General features: G+C 37.0%; 1 protein-coding gene across 8 annotated transcripts in view, besides 1 other annotated feature; it reads left to right on the forward strand.

Moving 5' to 3' along the window:
- Positions 1–17240, forward strand: part of AP4E1 (adaptor related protein complex 4 subunit epsilon 1) — a 98404-nt gene extending 81164 nt beyond the window's left edge. For 7 of the 8 annotated variants that reach the window (XM_005254264.5, NM_001252127.2, NM_007347.5 and 4 more), the window contains 5 exons: positions 4715–4970; positions 8671–9228; positions 10417–10607; positions 12371–12528; positions 13847–17240. In XM_005254264.5, the coding sequence (XP_005254321.1) occupies positions 4715–4970; positions 8671–9228; positions 10417–10607; positions 12371–12528; positions 13847–14007 (1324 nt within the window). In that variant the 3' untranslated portion in view covers positions 14008–17240. Of the gene's footprint in view, positions 1–4714; positions 4971–8670; positions 9229–10416; positions 10608–12370; positions 12529–13846 lie in introns of those variants that run through there. The other variant, XM_047432326.1, reaches the window with a different exon arrangement.
- Positions 15569–15814: a silencer, noted in NCBI's record as "fragment chr15:51296421-51296666 (GRCh37/hg19 assembly coordinates)". NCBI's record gives its function as "represses an EF-1alpha promoter that drives an FKBP-Casp9 reporter gene in an ReSE screen in HepG2 liver carcinoma cells {active_cell/tissue: HepG2}" and the evidence as "EXISTENCE:reporter gene assay evidence [ECO:0000049][PMID:32094911]".

The following is a 21555-nucleotide window of genomic DNA, read 5'->3' on the forward strand; positions in this document are numbered from 1 at the left end:
AGAGAATATCCTATCACATATTGCTAGCCTGGGAAAAGATAAAAGTTCAAAATTTGAAGTATGGTTTCTGTGAAACTCTATTGCTTTCACACCGTTGTAAAGCCAAAAAATCATTAAATTGAACTATTGTAAGTCAGGGACCATCCGTAGTCACCTATGGAAGCTGTATACTTTGCTGAAAATGCTTTCAGAGTTACTTTCCAGCCACCTTGAAAATTGGTGAGCATTTGCTAAAATGTCTTATTTGGAGCCGAATTTCATCCTTGTTAGGTATACTTTGATTTTGGAAACATAATTAGTTACCTTTAGAAACATAATTAAGTGAATAAAATGAGATGACATTTGTAAGTACATAGTACAGCCCAGTTCATAGTAAGTGATTGATAAATGGTAGTTGCTGTTATTAATAATGATTGTCATTACCATCATTGTCTTCATTACCCAAGAGGTGAGTTTACCAGATAATATTTGTGATCAATCTGTATAATTTTGATCAATATTCTGATGCGACAGTAAAGTAAGGAAATGGCTTTCTTGTTTGGGAAGAAGCTGCATCTAATAGAGTTAAAAATGTTTTAAGTAATGGCCGCATTGTTGGAATAAATGTGATAAAATCTCAAAAGTGACAACTTTAAAGGATGACATTTGAATTTTGAGTTCTTCTGTATTTATTAAGAAATCAGTCATCTTATTTTATGTTCATCCTTACATTTGTCTGTTGTTCAATGAAATGGTTACAAGTATTTATCAGAAGAAAGATACTAATAATAGATCATGAGGAATGTAGAATATGTTGAATGAAATGGCATGAGTTCAAATTCTTTTTCTTATCTTTTTTTTTTTTCCTGCTCTGTTAACCTCCTTATTTTCTTTCCCAGATATTTAATTTTGATACTCCAAGCATGGGGAGCAAATATTGTTTGTGGGCATTTGATGATGGAGGTGACAGCAATTAAGTGTCCCAAACAGGGACCAAAGGGACAAGGGAAAGAGACAGGAACCCTTCAAACCCAGGGAGGAACTTACACACTTTTACCTGCACAACAGGTGACAGCATCTACTACTATAGTACTGAACTAGGATCTGGGGGGTGTGACAGGGCCTTGTAAATGCCATACATATACATCTACTACCCTCAGAGAAATGACATTTGGCAAAACTGCTAAGGAATTATATAATATATCCTGCAGTATTGTGAAATGGAAGATAAGGGATGAATTTAAAATTTGTTTCCAAAGAGGACCTCAGCTCACACATTATTTCAGAAGAGGAACATAGTAATTGGCAAGGTGAATCATCTTAGAGGGAAGACAGTTGCTCTTTTACAGTCCCTGGCAACCTGAGAATAAAGTAGTAGCAAGTCTAATTTATAATTTCTTAACTGGCAGCACCCTATCTCAAATGGGAATTCCTAGAGCTGAGTTAAAGTACATCCCTAGTCTTTTGAAGGTTAGTTACTTGGTCAGAATTTACATCTATGTTTGAATGGTCTGAATAAAAACAATACAAGGGCACACCGTAGAAAACCATGTATTATATAATAGTATTGTCAAAATCCGGGCAAAGATGACTCATGTTTAAAAATATTATTTTTCTAATGTTTCATATAATTAAGAAGCATATTTTTTATATGAAATGGCCTTATGTTGCTTTCTTATGTATTTTCCCATTTTTTATTATTTATTTAATTTATTATTATTATTATTATTATTATTATTATTTGAGACAAGTCTCATTCTGTCACCCAGACTGGAGTGCAGTGACATGATCTTGGCTCACTGCATCCTCCGCTTCCTGGGTTCTAGTGGGTTCTCCCAGGTTCTCATGCCTCAGACTTTGAATGTGGAGTACACATTCAAAGCCGGGATTACAGACGCCTGCCACCATGCCCTGCTAATTTTTATGTTTTTAGTAGAGGCAGTGTTTTGCCAAGTTGGCCAGGCTGGTTTTGAACTCCTGGGCTCAAGTGATCCGCCTGCCTCAGCGTCAGTGCTGGCATTACAGGTGTGAGCTACTGCACCTGGCCATATTTTCCCACTTTTTAGATGGTCTGTATGTATGCTTAACAGAATATTTGTGTCGATCATAAGTATGTATGCAGATGAAATAAATAAGAAAATAAGAAAAATCTTTAAAATAGTTTGAGGCTCCTTTTAGGCTCCTTTTGTACCTCCTGCCCCTTTTTGCCAGTTGTGGATTGAGTTCCCTGGGAAGCACATTCTGTGATGGCATTTAGTATGCAGAATAATTAGGAGTGTCGTTGGGATCAACATCTATAGAAGGAAGGAAAAAGAAGCAGGTTTGGGCAGAAGTTAAGATGCAATGCATTGCCGGTGACAACCTCTGCTGACCCCATGGGGAGCTCTGGAGCTGGAATGACCCTTCAGAGTTGTGCTGAGTTGGACCGAGATGGATGGCAAGGACTTTATACTTCCATTCATCCATCACTGGATGTAGGCTGCCTTGGAAGGGGTGTGATCTTGCGTGAAGTAGCCCTCTGCAGCTCAGGCAATCCCTGAAGGGGCTGAGAGATGACAGCATTCCCAACAGCTGGTCAACAGTCCTTCATTGAAGAGAGATCCGGATGGAGCAGCCCATTGTCCTCCACATCGGCCTTTTGTTGTTGTTGTTAAACTACTATTTAAATCATGGATTAGTAAAATTTAGGGACTTGTTCTCTCTTTTTTTGTAAATAAAGGTAATATTTTGGTTAAAGGGAGTATACAGATACTATAATACTATTGTGGGTATTCATGAATTCCCTAGAGGTGCTTCTTTTGAGAATTCTATTCTAGAAATGGTAGGAGTTATTTTAGTGGTTCCCATGACCACTTGGGATCTGCTTATGGCAAGTACAACCAATTTTTGTCTAAGAGGTTTATTATATAACTTTTTTTTTTCTTTAGAAAACTCTTTTAGAACCTGGAGGAAGAAAGGGGGAAATGAAGATATTTGTAAAGGGATACTCAGCAGTAAAAATCATTGAGAAGGAATGAACCAATTCCCTTTAGGGCATTTTTTATTAACATTCAGATTTTCCTGTAGCTACTTACTTCTTAATAGCATTAATTCTTCACTCAGTATGAAGTGTAATTACCTGTTTTTGTTTTGTTTTGGGCTCAAAATCACATTGATCATGATTCCAACAATTTCAATACTAATAATAATTAGTAGAAATATTTCTGAGTCTTCCTTTTTGTTCATTTCATGATCAACTCATCTTGTAGTAGAAATGATTTTTTAAAAATGCCATTTTGGACCATGACAGAGATGCTTAAATAAGTCAAGTGCCAAGGACACATAGTTCTTTTTTTTTTTTTTTTTTAACTCCAGTGTTATTGAGATATAATTGCCAAATAAACATTGTATATTTGACCCTTGAACAATATGGGTTAAACTGTGCGGGTCCACTTAATACACAGATTTCTTCAATAAATATATTGGAAAAAGTTTTTCAGACTTGAGACAATTTGAAAAAACTTTCCAACAAACCATGTACCCTAGGAATGTCAAAAAATTAAGAAACAATAAGATTGTCAGGAATACATAAAATATATATAGATACTAGTCTATGTATTAATTGACTGTTTATGTTATTAGTAAGGCTTCCAGTCAACAGTAGGCTATTAGTAGTTAAGTTTTGGAGGAGTCAAAAGTTACATGTGGATTTTTGACAACACAAGGAGTCAGTGCCCCAACCCTCTCCATTTTTCAAGGGTCATTGGTATGTATTTAAGGTGTGCTATGTGATGTTTTGATATACATTGTGAAATGATTACCACAATCAAACTAATTAATGGACACATAGCTCTTATATGAGAATAATAGAGATGATCCTTGGCTATTTTAGCCCGCACTTATTAGTCACTCCAGATTCACAACTGCAACTTTTGTGACAACATTAGGATTCTAAATTTGGCCCTGGACTTAACTGCCTAGATGCCTTGTTTAGGCTTTTTGGGTAGGACACCTGGCTCCTAAACAATATTTTAATTCTTTTTCAACTCAGGTGTAAAAATTTGTCAGCCTCAGGCTTTTTCCCAAAATCTTACTTTTTTCTTTTTTAGATAAAACTTCATTGCATTTTGATAAAAGTACACTTAATAATAGTTGAAAATGTTGCTATGTGCATAGTGAGAAAAACCTTTTGGATTAAAGTAAATTTATGGGGAGCATGTATTCAGGGCAACTTGAATTTATGTTTCCTGGGTTGTAAAACTAAAGAAAAAATAAAATGTAAATTTATACATAGGAGTAAATTTGAATGATGTTTTTGCTTTTAACAGGATTTTACTTAATGAATTTATATAGGTTTAATTCCTTCATATTGCTAAGAAATTTCAATCATTTCTCATCTTTAACCCATCAGAATTAAAGGTATTTTTGAAAAGTCAGTGGAGGAAAGAAACTGATTTACAGTAGTTCTATTTTTGTATAACTTAAGCAGTTAAGTGAAAATTAAATGCTCTGAAATTTTTAACTAAGTCTGGAGTTCTGCAGCCTTAAATCAAATCCTTTGACTGGAGGGTAGAGGGATGTTGGCTATAACTAAAATAAAATCTAGAGATCAAGGTTTTACTTCTGGTATATAGAATATAATGTGACAGTTGTTTTTAAAAGGCCATGGGCATTGATATGTTTTGAAAGAATGCCTCAAGAAAGTAACTATTAGCAGTTATTTAAGTTGACTTGATTTTATTATCAACCTCCTTAGGACAAATAGCTTGAAGCTGGAAGGTATAAAGAAATTGTGGGGGAAAGAAGGCTATCTTCCCAAGAAGGAAAGCAAAACTGGTGATGAAAGTGGAGCTCTGCCTGTTCCTCAAGAGAGTATAATGGAGAATGTAGATCAAGCTATAACTAAAAAGGATCAATCTCAAGTTCTTACCCAATCTAAAGAGGAGAAAGAAAAGCAGCTGCTGGCATCATCATTATTTGTTGGTCTAGGATCAGAAAGTACAATCAACCTGGTAAGTAATCGGTTCTATTCCTGTAAGAATCTTTGTCATCTGTCTGTACAAAAAAAACTGGCTCTATAAAAGCTCCTGGCTGTCGTCTATATGTATAGTGAAAAGTGGCTTCCCCAGTTCTTACTCACCATCATTTCCCAGCTCCAGAACCACTAATGACACAGCTTTTTATATTCCTGAAAGAGAAAATGCAGTTGGCTCAACTTGAGTCAGGTGTTCTCTGTAGCCCAGTCAGTGGACAAGGGTCAGGCTCCAAATAAGGTTACAGGTATGACCACAGCCACTCTCACCCCTGTGGGTGGACGGGGCAGTTCTCAAAGGGAAGGGGGATGAATAATAATCGTTCAACAGTATTGATATATCTTTGTAAAAAGTACTCCTCAAAATTGTATTACATAAATTCTATTCTCCCAGAACATTATTCAGCTCTAAGAATGATCAATAATATTGCTTTGTAAAATGAAAAAATACTTAAATGATATATTAAACAAAAAGTACAGAGTATAAAGTTTTATTTATGCCTTGTTTATACCTAAGGCTGAAAGGAATTATACAAAAATGATAATTATATTCAGATATTAAGATTATGATTTTTAAACTTTTTATACTGAGAAATTATTTTCATAGTAAAAGAATGACAAGTTGGAGTGAAGGACAGGTGCTGTTTTTGAGCATCTGAGAATACCATGTAATGTATCCTCCTTTTGGTGGCTAATGAACCCACCTTGTACAAAATTTTGATTAGAGTGACATCCCAGGTCTTTCATCCTCCTCCTCCCATGGTGAAATTTCCCCTTCATTCCTGTCAGTACCAGGCCAGATGGTATACCATACTATATACTCTTTATCTTTGTCTCTTTCTTTTCTAGACTCACCAGTCTAGATCCCATTTCTGTCAGACTTGATATTTTCTCTTAAGAAAAAACAGATTCAGCCTAAAAATATTAATAACTAATGTATCTTAATATTTTCCGAGTTGACATTTGCAGATCAGCAGTAAAGTGACTGATCTTGGGTTTTTGAGTTGTTCTGGCAGGCTGTGATGAGAGGGTGGGTACCAGTGGAATGCTTGGTAAGAGCACACCAAAGTCAGATTACACCCAGGCTCATGGAGCCCTGGTTTGTGAACCTCATTGCTGGTATAGAAGTATTCCTGCCTATTTAACAAGTGCATAGCTTTCAGTTAGATTTTTTCCTTAGGAGAACATTCAGGGTGATATTAGATTTTTTGTGGTGAGTTTGAAATCGGAAATATTATTAGGATGTTTTTTCTGTTAATGATGCTAAATCCTTTTTGACTTACCCCTTATAATTCCCCCTCATTCCCACCCAGCTATCACTGAAGAGTAGAAAAAGGAGTGTATTTCTCTGTTTTATGAGACCCTGAATTCCGTAAGGAATTGTGTTGTAACTTAGATGCATAAAGAAGGAGGAACAGTTAACAATGACATAAAATTAGCATGTATCCTCTCACTTCTCAGCCCCGACCCTTCCTCTGATACTGGGGCAAAGCAGACAGGATTGGGACTAACTGAATGTGCTCCTTCTGTGTCATGCCTCATTTTGGATGGCTGTTTTTCTTCAGAAATCCTGTTCCCTACTGATTTTTCTTACGTTTAGCGTTCTCAGTTTCATACATCAAGGCTCTATTGATGTATTTCATTTTAACTAGCTTTTATTTTTAGGTCTGTGATCCATTTTGAATTAATTTTTTATATCACTTTAGAAAGGCCAAGGTTTATTATTTTTTTCACCCTTGGCTTATTTCACCTTCTTTTTTTTTTTTTTTTGAAACAGAGTCTTACTCTGTTACCCAGGCTGGAGCGCAGTGGCATGATATTGGCTCACTGCAACCTCCGCCTCAATTCGCCTGTCTCAGTCTCCCCAGTAGCTGGGATTACAGGCATGTGCCACCACGCCGAGCTCATTTTTATATTTTTAGTAGAGATGGGGTTTCACCATGTTGGCCAGGCTGGTCTCAAACTCCCGACTTCAAGTGATTCGCCTCCCTTGGCCTCCCAAAGTGTTGGGATTGCAGGTGTGAGCCGCCATGCCCGGCCTCACCTTCATTTTTAAGACATTTTTTTCTGAGTATGCAGTGCTAAACTGTTTCTTTTCTTCAAGCATTTTAACAAAGATGTCACTACGGTGTCTTCTGGCATGTATAGCTTCTGAATAATAACAGATTGACAATGCAGAAGAAAAGATCATTAAACTTGAAGACAAAGTAATAGAAACTATCCAAAATGAAACATAGACCAAAAAAAAAAAAGACCAGAAAAGACCAAAAAAAGAAAAAAGGAACAGAGAGCATCAGTGACTTGGGGGACAGTAACAAGCAGTCTAATATACATCTTTTTTTTTTTTTTTTTTTTTTTTTTGAGACAGAATCTTGCTCTGTTACCCAGGTTGGAGTGCAGTGTCACGATCTCAGCTTACTGCAACCTCTGCCTCCCAAGTTCAAGCAATTCTCCTGCCTCAGTCTCCCGAGTAGCTGGGATTACAGGCATGCGCTACCACGCCTGGCTAATTTTTTTTTTTTTTTTTTTTTCAGTAGAGACGGGGTTTCACCATGTTGGCCAAGCTGGTCTTGAACTCCTGGCCTCAAGTGATCCGCCTGCTTCAGCCTCCCAATGTGCTGGGATTACAGATATGAGTCACCATGCCTGACCTCTAATACACATCTACCTTGAGTCCCATTACTACTGAAAATAACTACTATTTGATAGTTATTAGTAACTATCGAAAATAACTACAGTAGTTTTTGTGCCCCCTTGTTTTTGTGTTAATAAAATGTTAGTTCTTATTAGGTGACTTCTGAATTTGGAGGTAAGAGACAAAAATCATCTGTTCAGAGTTGGAAGAAGGTGTTGGGGCTTGAGGAGAGTGACAGAGAAGATAAGAAAAGGGAACTAGAATTCTGGTCAACTAGAATCATGTAAAGGATGCTGTGTAGTGTCAAAGCCCCCCGGGGGAGTGGAGGTGGAGAGTAGTGCCAGTCTGCTGCACTGATTCTAAATAGAACTTTGCTAGGCAAGGGAACACTTGAACCATCACTCCTCTTACATAGATTCACAGACCATTCTTCAGAAAGTTTGGACCAACGATGTCAAGTTTGCCATTCTATCTCCTGAATGTGTGGCAAACATCACTAGTCAGTTATTGAGTTCTTTCCTGCTGAGTGTTCCAGTCAGCTACTGCCAGTTAATTCTTGAGGTAAAACCAGTTTTTCTTTCTGCTTACTAACTTACAGGCCATGAAATCATGATTATTATAGATGACTAAAACAGAGGTTGGGTCATCCCTGCATTCAAGAGTAACTTAGGCTTATACAGAACAACTATGGCAACTCAAAAAATGGTGAAGTTTCTCACTGCTTTTTAATTTGTTCAGTTCTATACTCTAGTATTCTGAAATCTAACAAGTTTTTTGTTCATGACTGACTTTTGGACCTTATTTCTTCTTCGGATTCCATGTGTTTTTTATGAGAAATAAGATTTAGCTAATAGTTCAAAGTTATATAGCTGTCAGGATTTTAGGGCTTAACATGTTATTTATCTCTGATTCTTTACTAATTTATTCTTTATAGATAGAACCTTAGCAAATTGTTATATTGCTGATTTGAAATTATAGATGAATGTTTAAAACTCATGACTAGTAGAATGATTTCTTTTTATATTATTATGTTTTATTTTTGCAGCTGGGAAAAGCAGATACTGTCTCTCACAAGTTCAGAAGGAAATCAAAAGTCAAAGAAGCTAAAAGTGGCGAAACAACCAGTACTCATAATATGACCTGTTCTTCCTTTAGTTCTTTGTCAAATGTGGCATATGAAGATGATTATTATTCGAATACTTTGCACGATACAGGAGACAAGGAATTAAAGAAATTTTCTCTCACTTCAGAACTTTTGGATTCTGAGTCACTCACAGAACTGCCCTTGGTTGAGAAATTCTCATATTGTAGTCTGTCTACACCTTCATTGTTTGCTAATAACAACATGGAAATTTTTCACCCTCCTCAATCTACTGCAGCCTCAGTTGCCAAGGAAAGCTCTTTAGCTTCATCTTTTTTGGAAGAAACTACTGAATACATACACTCAAATGCTATGGAAGTCTGTAATAATGAAACTATATCAGTGTCTTCTTATAAAATTTGGAAAGATGATTGTTTATTGATGGTCTGGTCAGTCACTAATAAGAGTGGTTTGGAATTGAAAAGTGCTGACTTAGAAATTTTTCCTGCAGAAAATTTCAAGGTAAAATTTAAAGGTATTATTGTTTTATTTTCAGTGTATATTTTGTGTTCTCTTTTCCTGTGCTCTTTAAATGTCTCCTTCACTTTTGTCATAAACACTAAAACGAAATTCTCAAATTATTTAGCAAAGTAGAAGATTAAGGAGTAAGGATATTGAAGAATAAATGTGTATACTGCTTACTTCTTTCTCTCACCAATTTATTTTTATATACCAAGTGCTCAGACATCAGTTCTCTTTCTTCCCTAGCTCTAACAGATTGCCATTGTGATTGCTGGAAGTATGTTTAATTGCATTATTGTATGGATGTCCTTGGTGGATTTATAATGAGATTTGACTAGTATATTTATCTTCCACAAAACTGGCCCAGTTTCTTCTATGAGCTAGAATGTGTTGAATGGGATATTGTCTGGGCCACTGACCAGAGCAAAAATTCCTGATACTAGATGTGCTTTAGAATCACCTGTGGGGCCAGGTGCGGTGGCTTATGCCTGTAATCCCAGCACTTTGGGAGGCTGAGGTGGGTGGATCACGAGGTCAGGAGTTTGAGACCAGCCTGACCAACATGGTGAAGCCCTGTCTCTACTAAAAATACAAAAATTAGCTGGGCATGGTGGTACGCACCTGTAATCCCAGCTACTCAGGAGGCTGAGGCAGGAGAATTGCTTGAACCTGGGAGACGGAGGTTGCAGTGAGCCAAGATTGCACCATTGCACTCTAGCCTGGGTGACAGAGTGAGACTCCATCTCAAAAAAAAAGAATCATCTGTGGAACTTAAAAAAACAGACCAAACCCTTCCCAGTTGCTTTAACTCTACCACCAAAGCTTGAGGGTAGAGAATGAGAATAGATGACATCTGTATTTGTATTTATATTTATATTTAAATTCTTTTAAAAATTATTTGAAAACTCTCCTATCTTTAAAAACCCAGGACCAGCCAGGACATTTACAGTTTTAACTGTAATGCCATTTGTTAACATAATTTTGACCTGTGTACAATTATTATTTCATTATCTGTTCTAGTGAATTTTTCTCAAGTGAAGTTGCCAGTCATCTTCATAATGTAGTTTGTTATTAACTTCCCATATTAGTATGATTTGTGCCACTTCAATTAAATAGAAAATTGGTAGTCATGTAATAGTCTGTATTGATCCCTTCCTTCTTCAACACTTTTATTACTTCTATTTGCAGGTGACTGAGCAACCTGGATGCTGTTTGCCTGTAATGGAAGCAGAAAGCACCAAAAGCTTTCAATATAGTGTGCAGATAGAAAAACCTTTTACAGAAGGAAATCTTACTGGTTTTATTAGTTATCATATGATGGATACTCATTCTGCTCAGCTGGAATTTTCTGTAAACTTATCACTATTAGATTTCATTAGGTAAATGTTTTGTGAAATGTTAATTCAAGTTGTTAATTCACCAACTATTTTTTAGACCTCTTCTCTGGATGGAGGCACTATGTTGGGTGCTAGGGAGTATAACAGTTAAAAACTACGCACAGTTCCTACGTTAGAGGAATTTCTAGTCTATGGAGGAGACATGGAGCAATTACATAAATACATATGTAATTATGAATTGTGCTATGAAGAGAAAATAAGTGTTACAATGAGGGATTATAATGAGAGACCTGATTTAGGTTGGAGTTGGTTGGTGACCTGGTAAAGCTTGTGAGAAAAAGTATTATTTAAACTAAATAACTCCGAAGATTCTGCATGGCTTTTAAAAGTTTCTCTCATTTGTATTTTATTCAATTATTTCATAAAATTTGTTTGTTAAGCTTTAGAGAAATGTAAGAAAATTGCTTGACATAGTTATTAAACTTTTTTTTATTATTATACTTTAAGTTTTAGGGTACATGTGCACAATGTGTAGGTTAGTTACATATGTATACATGTGCCATGCTGGTGTGCTGCACCCATTAACTCGTCATTTGGCAGTAGGTATATCTCCTAAAGCTATCCCTTCCCCCTCCCCCCACCCCACAACAGTCCCCAGAGTGTGATGTGTTATTAAACTATTATTAAACATGCAGTTTTTACCATTATACTGGGCACTGTACAGTGTTACCAAAATAATTGAAAACAATATCTTACCTGCTCTAATTTTGTTTTATAAATGTATTGTACTGTTTTTGAACATTAAAAATATGAAGGCTGCCTGAACCCAGAATGCAGAATACCGATGAATATCTCTATATATTTTTTTAACCTCCACATGTCACTTCTGTTACAATACAATGCTCTCGTTTTTGTTCATTCTTTTTTTTTTTTTTTTTTTTAAACAGGGTCTTGCTGTGTCACCCAGGCTGGAGTGCAGTGGCACACTATGGCTCACTGTAGCCTCGACCTCCCAGGCTCAATTGATCCTCCCACCTCAGGCTCCTGAGTAGCTGGGACTACAGGAATATGTCACCATGCCAGCTAATTTTTGTGTTTTTTGTAGAGATAGGGTTTTGCCATGTTGCTCAGGCTAGTCTCAAACTGTTGGGCTCAAGCGATCTGTCTGCCTCGGCCTCCCAAGGTGCTGGGATTAGGGACGAGGGCTACCATGCCCAGCTTTCCCCATTCTTTAAAGTCTTTTAGTAATAACATAACTGTCAGTCTATTACAGTACTGTATGCCTGTGGTGCTGATAGGATAAAATCCAGCCTTCAAAAAACTTACGTTGTGTGATTGTGGAGGTCTCCTGAACCATTTAAAAAATGTGTTTGTTAAAATTCTTTCTTTTGGTCTAATTTACTTAAGGTGCAAGATCTTTGTATTCATGTTCTTTTTCATAACTTTGATAGAGTATCCCATTATCCCCAAATTCAAAGTAAATATGAAAGAAAAGTTCTGTATTATAGTTGAATGATTTATGAAATTACTTGGTAAAATCTTACTGGAATGACTAGTAGAAAGAGAGATAACTGAGTGGTTTATTGAAATGATATTTTAAATTTAATAATATACCTGCTTTCAGTATTTTCATCAGGTTGGAGGATGATACTAACCATTTTTAGCATATTTGGTTTAAAGACATAAATCTTATGGGACCCAGATTTACAATGATTATGTTTTATTCTCATGAGGCATTTGAAATTTGTTGTTTAGAATCATTTCACTGTTTTTGACATATATCTAATTTTAAAAATTATTTTCAGACCATTAAAAATCTCAAGTGACGACTTTGGGAAACTCTGGTTATCCTTCGCAAATGATGTGAAACAAAATGTAAAAATGTCAGAATCTCAAGCTGCACTTCCTTCTGCACTAAAGACTCTGCAACAGAAACTAAGACTCCATATTATTGAGATTATAGGTTTGTAGAGTTATAAAAAGGCTATTCTGTGTTTATAGGAGCTTTCTTATAATTGGAACACAAATCAACTCTTACAAGTATCAGATTTCTCAGAGCTTTATTTCCTATTATGACTGTCTTTCAGATGAATGTGTTTTTCAGACTGTATTAAATAATTTTTTATTGGAAAATATACATACATAAAATATACCATTTTAACAATTTTTAAACATATAGTTAAGTGGCATTAAGTGTATTTACACTGTTGTGCAACTGTCACCATCATCTATCTTCAGAACTTTTTTATCCTCCTCAACTGGAACACTATACCCATTAAACACTAACTCCGCCTTTCCCCTTCCTCTCCACCTCTTGGCAACTACCATTTTACCTCTTGTCTCTATGAACTTGACTGTGTTAGGTACCTTATATAAGTGGAATCATACAATACTTGTCCCTTTGTATCTGGCTTATTTCACTGAGCATAATATCTTCAAGGTTGATCCATGTTGTAGAATGTGTCCGAATTTTAATGTGATACATTTTGTTTATCCATTCATCTGTAAATGGATACTTGGGTTACTTCCACTTTTTGGCTATGGTGAGTAATGCTGCTATGAACAAGGTTATACAAATACCTGTTTGTGTCCCTGCTTTCAGTTCTTTATTTGGTTATATACCCAGAAGTGGAATTGGTGGATTATATGATAATTTTAGATTTAATTTTTTTTTTTGAGACAGAGGCTCACTTTGTTACCCATGCTGGAGTACAGTGGTGCGATCTGAGCTCACTGCAACCTCCACCTTCCGTGTTCAAGCTATTCTCGTGCCTCAGCCTCCCGAGTAGCTAGGATTACAGGTGTGTGGCACCATGCTCAGCTAATTTTTTGTATTTTTTAGTAGAGATGGGGTTTCACCATATTGCCTAGGCAGGTCTAGAACTCCTGAGCTTAAGTGATCTGCCCGCCTCAGCCTCCCAAAGTGCTGGGATTACAGGTGTGAACTACTGCACCTGGCCTAGATTTAATTCTTTGAGAAACCACCATATCATTTTCACAGCAACTGCACCATTTTATATTCCCACCAGCAATGTACCAGGGTTCCAGTTTCTCCACGTCTTCATCATCATTTGTTATTATCTGTTTTTTTCTTTAATATTAGCCATCCTAATGTGTATGAAGTATAGTATCTCACTGTGGTTTCAATTTGCAGTCTCCTTAGTGGTTAGTGATATTGAGTATCTTTTCATGTGCTTATTAGCCATTTGTGTATCTTCTTGGAGAAATGTCTGTTTAACTCCTTTTGCATTAAATCATTTTTCACTTTTGTTTTGTTTTAGGCAATGAAGGGCTATTGGCCTGTCAGCTGCTCCCATCCATCCCCTGCTTACTGCATTGCCGAGTTCATGCAGATGTATTAGCCCTGTGGTTCAGATCCTCCTGTTCTACTCTTCCTGACTATTTACTGTATCAGTGTCAAAAGGTGATGGAGGGATCCTAGCAGAAGCCCTGCTAAATTTTACTCCATCAAGATCAATGGTTTACATAGATAAACTTATTTACCAAAGTAAAAAGAACTCATGGTACTTCTAATGAAAATGGGGATTATTACAAGTGTGGTTTATATGTTTTCTTTGTGATTCCTGGTCAAGAAAGATCCCCAAAACTGTATCCCTAACCTTTAACTCAGGATTGTACAGTATGTTTAGGTCCCTCAAAAAGTGACCTAAGCTAATGTTATAAACTGCTAATGATTTATATATCACTTAGTGTGTAGAGGGACTGAAAATATTTATTTTGTTATAAATAATTTTATAGCACGTTTACTCTAGTGCTAGCTAATTTGTAATAAAGCCAAGTCTCAGTTTTCTGCATTAAATGGAAGGGAGACATGAAATTGATAATCTCAAACTTAATTCATATTTGGCTTTGGAATGTAGTGTATGGTTTTTGGTAGGGAAGTCAATATTTTCGATTATGTTTTGCTTAGATCAGTGTTGAACTAAGTTGGCATAGCACACACTAACAGTTGTAGGAGATCCATGAGCATGCTGGATATTGAGGGGATCCAATCTGTGATCTATTTTTTATTATAGATAACTGTTACACATAATTTCAGATCGTTTGGCTGTAAAATTTGTCTGTTTTCCACTTGGAGTTATTTTAAAATTCAAAGTAAATCACTCTATTCTTATTTTGAAAACTCAGAGCCATTTTATATAGAAACAAAACCCATAAGAGCACACAGTAACAAAGCAAACAGATACAAAAATGACTTTTTAGTTATGACAAATATTTTAGTTGGTTACTACTTAGGTCCTTTTGGCAAATGAAAATTTGTGATTAGAGTATAAATGGCAAAACTATCTTTTCCTGGCCTTTGAATCCACTAGTACTTAATGGATATAGCTGAAGCAGAGACTAAGTATAACATACAGGTTCTTCAGTAAAATATATCATTTTCATGTTATAGTTATGCCTGTGTGGCCTCTGTCAGAACTATTATCAGTAAAAGAGGTTAAGCCTATATATGAATGATGGACCAAAACCTTGAGGTTGTACATTAACTGAAATAGTATTTTATAAAATCTTATGGTGCTGTGGAAAATATTTATTATTTCACCTTTTCTGACACTTCACCATGGAGACTATTCAGGTAATACAATTTTAAGTCATTGCAGTTAATACTCTGGTTAATTGGTACTGTTAATCACCCAGGTCAGGAATTCTGATTTTAGGTTATCTCATTAATCATGGCTGATAAAGAAGCTAAGGGGATTCTCCAGATCTAATAGATTTCATTAGTCATTTGTGTCGAGTATTCCTCCCTAAAAACAAAAGCAGTATTTTCTTTCTCAATTAATTTTTAAGTTATTCATTAAAAAATATATAACATCTTAATTTTATTCTTTTAAAAACATACAGTGAAGCCTTGCTACAAGAGTCATAAGTGACTGGAATTTCTTGCATAATAGGTTCCTCCTTTTGAATAGATCAGATTCATCCCCAGGCTCTCAGCAGTGTCATGATGAAATGAGTGTGCTGACTTCAGGGGTGTGGTGGACACTGGTAGCTAGCCTTATCAGCTCCCTCCTTATTCCTACCTCTGTCAGCAGCATGCCTCGCCCCTTACCTAATTCTGCTGTGACTCTGACAGAGAGGAAGTGCCTTCTCACTTTGCAAAGGAATGCAGCATGTCACAAAGGAGGTGCTCCAATTTTTTGTGTCCTTACTTCCCTATGTTTGCCTAGTTACTGAGGCTAGGTCGAGTGTGAAGCAATAGGTGTAAGATGCTGAGAGCACATGGACAGCTACCAGGGAGATCTGTTGCTTGGTTACAGGGTGTATTCATGAGTGGTAGCTGCAGTTGTCGTGAGAGACATGCTTGGCATACAGAGCTGTCTAATGGGTGGGAGACATGTAATGGTAGATTTAGGGCTGGGAGCATGATTTTGGGTCTGCCCAAAGGAACATGGTGTCACTTTTGTTCTTTCTGACCCACTAAATAAAAAGTAGTGTAACAGGGTTTCACTGGAATGTTTATTAGAAAGTTTACACTTTTTATATTTTTATGATTTTAAAAACAAACAATAATAGAAAAACAGATTTTAAGGAACTTCAGAGCAGTATATATTCTGTCTAAACTCACTGAATATTTTAAGTTGTAAATCAGGTGTCCACCAACCTTTATTTTTGCATTGCAGGAGATGTGACTGTAAAGTAGGGAGTTTTTTTTTTTGAGACAGAGTTTCACCCTTGTTGCCCAGGCTAGAGTGTAATGGTGCAATCTCCGCTCACTGCAACCTCTGCCTCCCAGGTTCAAGCGATTCTCCTGCCTCAGCCTCCCTAGTAGCTGGGATTACAGGCATGCACCACCACACCCGGCTAATTTTTTTATATTTTTAGTAGAGACAAGGTTTCTCCATGTTGGTCAGGCTGGTCTCGAACTCCCGACCTCAGGTGATCTGCCCGCCTCAGCCTCCCAAAGTGCTGGGATTACAGGCGTGAGCCACTGCGCCCGGCCAAATTATTTTTGTGGGTAGATTCATTCTCTTTACCTAATAGTCATAATTTAGTCAGTGAAGGGACAACATCTGGGGTAAGAGCTATGGAGGAGGTGCTCAGCTTTGTGAGTTTTGTGCCAGGCATCTTTGCTGAAAATGGAGATGGCAGCAAGTGTGAATCTGGGGGAATATAAGGGAAGACAGAAAAGCCTTAAGAGTAGACGGAGGAAGAAGGGTACCAGAATAGTCCCTGTGGAGGCAGGCAGATCAGAGCTCAGGGTTTGAAAGTGGGCCTGAGTAAGGGTCCTGCTAGAGAAACTGCAGATGGAAGCTGAGCAGTTACCAACTGCTAATGTGCCAAGTATACCAAGCACAGCATGTGTCCTGTAGAGGAGCATTATTTTAAACAATGTTCTACTATCATCTACCAAAATAATTGTGGTAAAAGTGTAGTATTTTATTTTTTCCTTTTATGTCAGCAATATTTTAAAATATTGATCTGTTTATCTTATATTTTTATGGATAAATGTAGTATTTGCCTCATGATTGTGAGCCACTGAGAGTGCACTGAACCTATTCACATGTCTTTAAGATGTTTTGCTGTGTTAAAATTTTAGGAGAGAAAAATACAAGTGAATAATTATTTAATAGGCATTTATTACTTTATTTTGGAGTTGAATTCTGTCATTTGAAAAAGTTCAGTAATGTAATAAATACAAAGTGATCTGCACTGTTTTTTGGTCTATGTTCTTTATTAACTAAGTAGCTGAATAATAAGTAATATTATTTAAACAATAATTTGGTAGACATCAGCTAAAAAGAGCAGGAGCAATTAGAATGGGATGAAAAGAATGATTTTTTCATTACAGCCCCCAAAGAATCTTGTCTCGTTGGCTAAAAGTAAAGATATTGCTATTTCTCTTTCTGTATGATGGTCAGAGAGAACTTTGTGGGCTTCAGACAAGTTATAGCATGGATTGTTTCTCAGGATGCCTGTCCATATCTCCTGCTTTCACCTTAGGCTGACCAGAGCATTTAAAGCAGAACATTGTTTCCATCATGCCTTCCTTTGTAGATGTCTGAAGATGCCAGAAACACAGTAAATCAATTAGAAACTTAGTGACCAAAGAATCTGAGTGTGCTGGCCATCTCTGCCTCATGTATCCTGAAACACAAAGCTAGATCAGAAATGGAGTTTAAATTCCACTGATTTGTGTCTCTTGTTGGCTACAGTGTATAAGAAGAAAAAAAACCCCTGAGACTTGAAGCTCCATCTTTGGGGCACTGAAGTCAAAAAGGAAGTTTAAATGCACCACACTCACTGTAGTAATTGAAAAGAAGGGAGCTGTTGAAGGGAGGGGTGGCCTGCAGCCCTATGGGCCAGGGTTAATGATTGCATGATAGTTACTGGTTTAGTGTATGCATAATGGGAGACTGAGCTTTTTGTGCTTAGGAACTCTCTGTGTGTGTATAGATTTTATTTTTTTTGATAGGCTCTTTTTTAAGACTTTTTGAGCAGTTTCAGGTTCAAGCAGAATCGAGAAGAACAGGTTTCCCATATACTCCCTCCTCCCACATGCATGCATAGACTCTCCCATTATGAGTATCCCCTACCAAAGTGTTATATTTGTTATAATTCATGAGCCTACCTTGACATATTGTTATCACCAAATGTTTTACATTAGTGTTCACTCATGATGTACATTCTGTGGATTTACACAGATGTATAATGACATGAATCCACTAGTGTAGTATCATACAGAGTGTGTTCACATGAATTTAGAGGATTTCTAAATCCTCTGTGCTCTGCCTGCTTATCCCTTCTGCCCTCCTGCCCCCAACCCCTGGTAACCACTTATGTTTTTTACTATCTCCATAGTTTTGCCATTTCCAGAATATCATATCTTTGGAATCATATAGTAGTAGCCTTTTTAGATTGTTCTTAATATGCATTTAAGTTTCCTCCATATCTTTTCATGGCTAACTTTTTAGCATTGAAAAATTCGTTGTGTATACCACAGCTTTTTTAATCCATTCACTTACTGAAAGACGTAGTTGCTTCTAAGTTTTGGCAATTATGAATAAAGCTGCTATAAACACTGTATACAGATTTTTGTGTAGACATGTCTTCAACTCCTTTGGACAAATACCAGGGAGCATGTTTGCTGGATCCTGTGTTAAGAGTATGTTTAGTTATGTGAGAAACTGCCAAATTGTCTTCCAAAGTGGCTGTACTATTTTGCATTCCTGCCAACAAAGAATGAGAATTCCTGTTGCTCCACATCCTTGCCAGCATTTGGTGGTGTCAGGGTTCTGGATTTTGGCCATTCTAATAGGTGTGTAGTGATATCTCATTTTAATTTGCGTTTCCCTGATGACATATGGTATTGAGCATCTTTTCATATGCTTTGTTGCCATCTGTCTGTTTGTGTGTGCGTGTGTGTGTGTGAGATGCCTGTTAAGGGCTTTAGCCCATTTTTAAATCAAGTTTTCTGATTGTTTGAGTTCTTTCTATATTTTTGGTAATATGCTCTTGTCAGATGTGTCTTTTGCAAATATTTTCTTCTGGTCTGTGGTTTATCTTTTCACTCTCTTGATAGTGTCTTTTGCAGAGCAGAGATTTTTAATTTTAGTGAAGTTCAGCTTATTAAATGTTTCTTTCATGGATTATGCCTTGATGTTATATCTAAAAGTCATTGCTAAACCCAAGGTTATCTAGATTTTTCTCCTATGATATCTTCTCGGAGTTTTACAGTTTTGCATTTTACTTTCAGGTATGTGATCCATTTTAAGTCAATTTTTGTGCAGGGTGTAAGGTCTGTGTCTAGATTCTTTTTTTTTTTTTTTTTTTTTTTTTTTTTTGCATGTGGATGTCCAGTTGTTCCAGCACCATTTCTTGAAAAGAACATCTTTTCTCCATTATATTGCCTTTGCTTCTTTGTTGGTGTGTTACTCTGTTTTTACGTTACTCTAAAGAAATAACTGAGTATTTTATAAAGAAAAGAAGTTTACTTGGCTTATGGTTCTGCAGACTGTACAGGAAGCATAGTGCTGGCATCTGCTTCTGGTGAGGCCTCAGGAAGCTTACAATCATGGTGGAATGCAAAGGGAGAGCAGCTCGTGTCTCATGGTGAGGAAGGGAGCAAGAGAGAGAGGAGGGAGGTCCCAGACTCTCTTAAACAAACAGACCTCATGTGAACTAACTGAGCAAGAACTGACTTATCACCAAGGGGATGGTGCTAAGCCATTCATGAGGGATCTGCCCCATGATCCAATCACTTCCCACCAGGCCCCACCTCCAACACTGGGAATCACATTTCAGCATGAGATTTGGAGGGGACAAGCATCCAAACCATATCAGTCAAATCAGTTGACTATGTTTATGTGGATCCATTTCTGGGCTCTCTGTTCTCTTCCACTCATCTATTTTCGTCTTTTCTTTTGCCAGTGCTACACTGCCATGATTATTCTAGCTTTATAGTAAGTCTGTAAGTCAGGTAGTGTCAGTCTTCTAACTTTGTTCTCCTTCAATATTATGTTGGCTATTCTGGGTCTTTTGCCTCTTCATATAAAATTTAGAATTAGTTTATAGATATCTACAAAATAACTTGCTGGGTTTTTTATTGGGATTGCATTGAATCTAAAGATCAAGTTGGGTAGAAGAGACATCTTTAATCAAAGATACTTTTATTTCTTCCTGCCGAATCAGTGTACCTTTTATTTCCTTTTTTGTCTTACTAAATTCACTAAGATTTCTAGTATAATGTTGAAAAGCAGGGGTGAGAGGAGATATTCTTCTCTTCTTCCTGATCTTAGTGGGAAAGCTTCTAGTTTCTCACCATTAAGTATGATGCTAGCTGTAGGATTTTTGTAGAGATTGTTTATCAAGGTGAGGAAGTTCTCTCTTCCTGATTTACTGAGATTTTAATCACGAATGGGTGTTGGATTTTGTCAGCTGCTTTTTCTTTTTCTTTTTTTTTTTTTTTTTTGAGACATAGTCTCACTCTGTTGTCCAGGCTGGAGTGCGATGGCGCGATCTCGGCTCACTGCAACATCTGCCTCCTGGGTTCAAGTGATTCTCTGCCTCAGCCTCCTGAGTAGCTGGGATTTCAGGTGCATGCCACCACGCCCAGCTAATTTTTGTATTTTTAATAGAGATGGGGTTTCACCATATTGGTCAGGCTGGTCTCGAACTCCTGACCTTGTGATCCGCCTGCCTTGGCCTCCCAAAGTGCTGAGATTACAGGTGTGAGCCATCGCGCCTGGCCTGTCAGCTGCTTTTTTCTGTATTGGTATGATCATATGATTATTCTTCTTTAGCCTGTTGACATGATGGATTACATTCATTAATTTTGATTTTTTTTTTTTTTGAGACAGAGTCTCGTTCTGTCACCTAGGCTGGAGTGCAGTGGTGCAATCTCAGCTCACTGCAACCTCCATCTTACAGGTTCAAGCAATTCTCCTGTCTCAGCCTTGTGAGTAGCTGGAACTACAGGTGCACACCACCATGCCCGGCTAATTTGTTTTTTGTATTTTTAGTAGAGATGGGGTTTCACCATGTTGGCCAGGCTGGTCTTGAACTCCTGACCCCAAGTAATCTGCCACCTAGGCCTTTGAAAGTGCTGGGATTACAGACATGAGCCACTGTGCCTGGCCTAATTCTGAATGTTGAACCAGCTTTGTATAACTGAGATAAGTCCTACTTGGTTATGGTGTATAATTCTTATTTTACATTGTTGGATTTGATTTGCTAATGCTTTGTTGAGGTTTTATACATCTATATTTATGAGAGACTGGTCTATATATTTTTTTCCTTGTAATGTCTTTGTCTAGTTTTGGCATTAAGGTAATTCTGACCTCATAGAACGAGTTAGAAAGTATTTCCTCTGTAGTTATCTCCTGGAAGAGAGCTGGTATAATTTCTTCTTTTGGTAGAAACATTTGTGAACCCACTTGGGCCTCGTGCTTTCTATTTTGGAAGTTTATTAATTATTGATTCAACTTTTTTGTAAAGATAAGCCTATTCAGGTAGTTTTTGTGTGTGT

The sequence above is a fragment of the Homo sapiens genome, chromosome 15 (assembly GCF_000001405.40).
Source record: "Homo sapiens chromosome 15, GRCh38.p14 Primary Assembly".
NCBI lineage: Eukaryota > Metazoa > Chordata > Mammalia > Primates > Hominidae > Homo > Homo sapiens.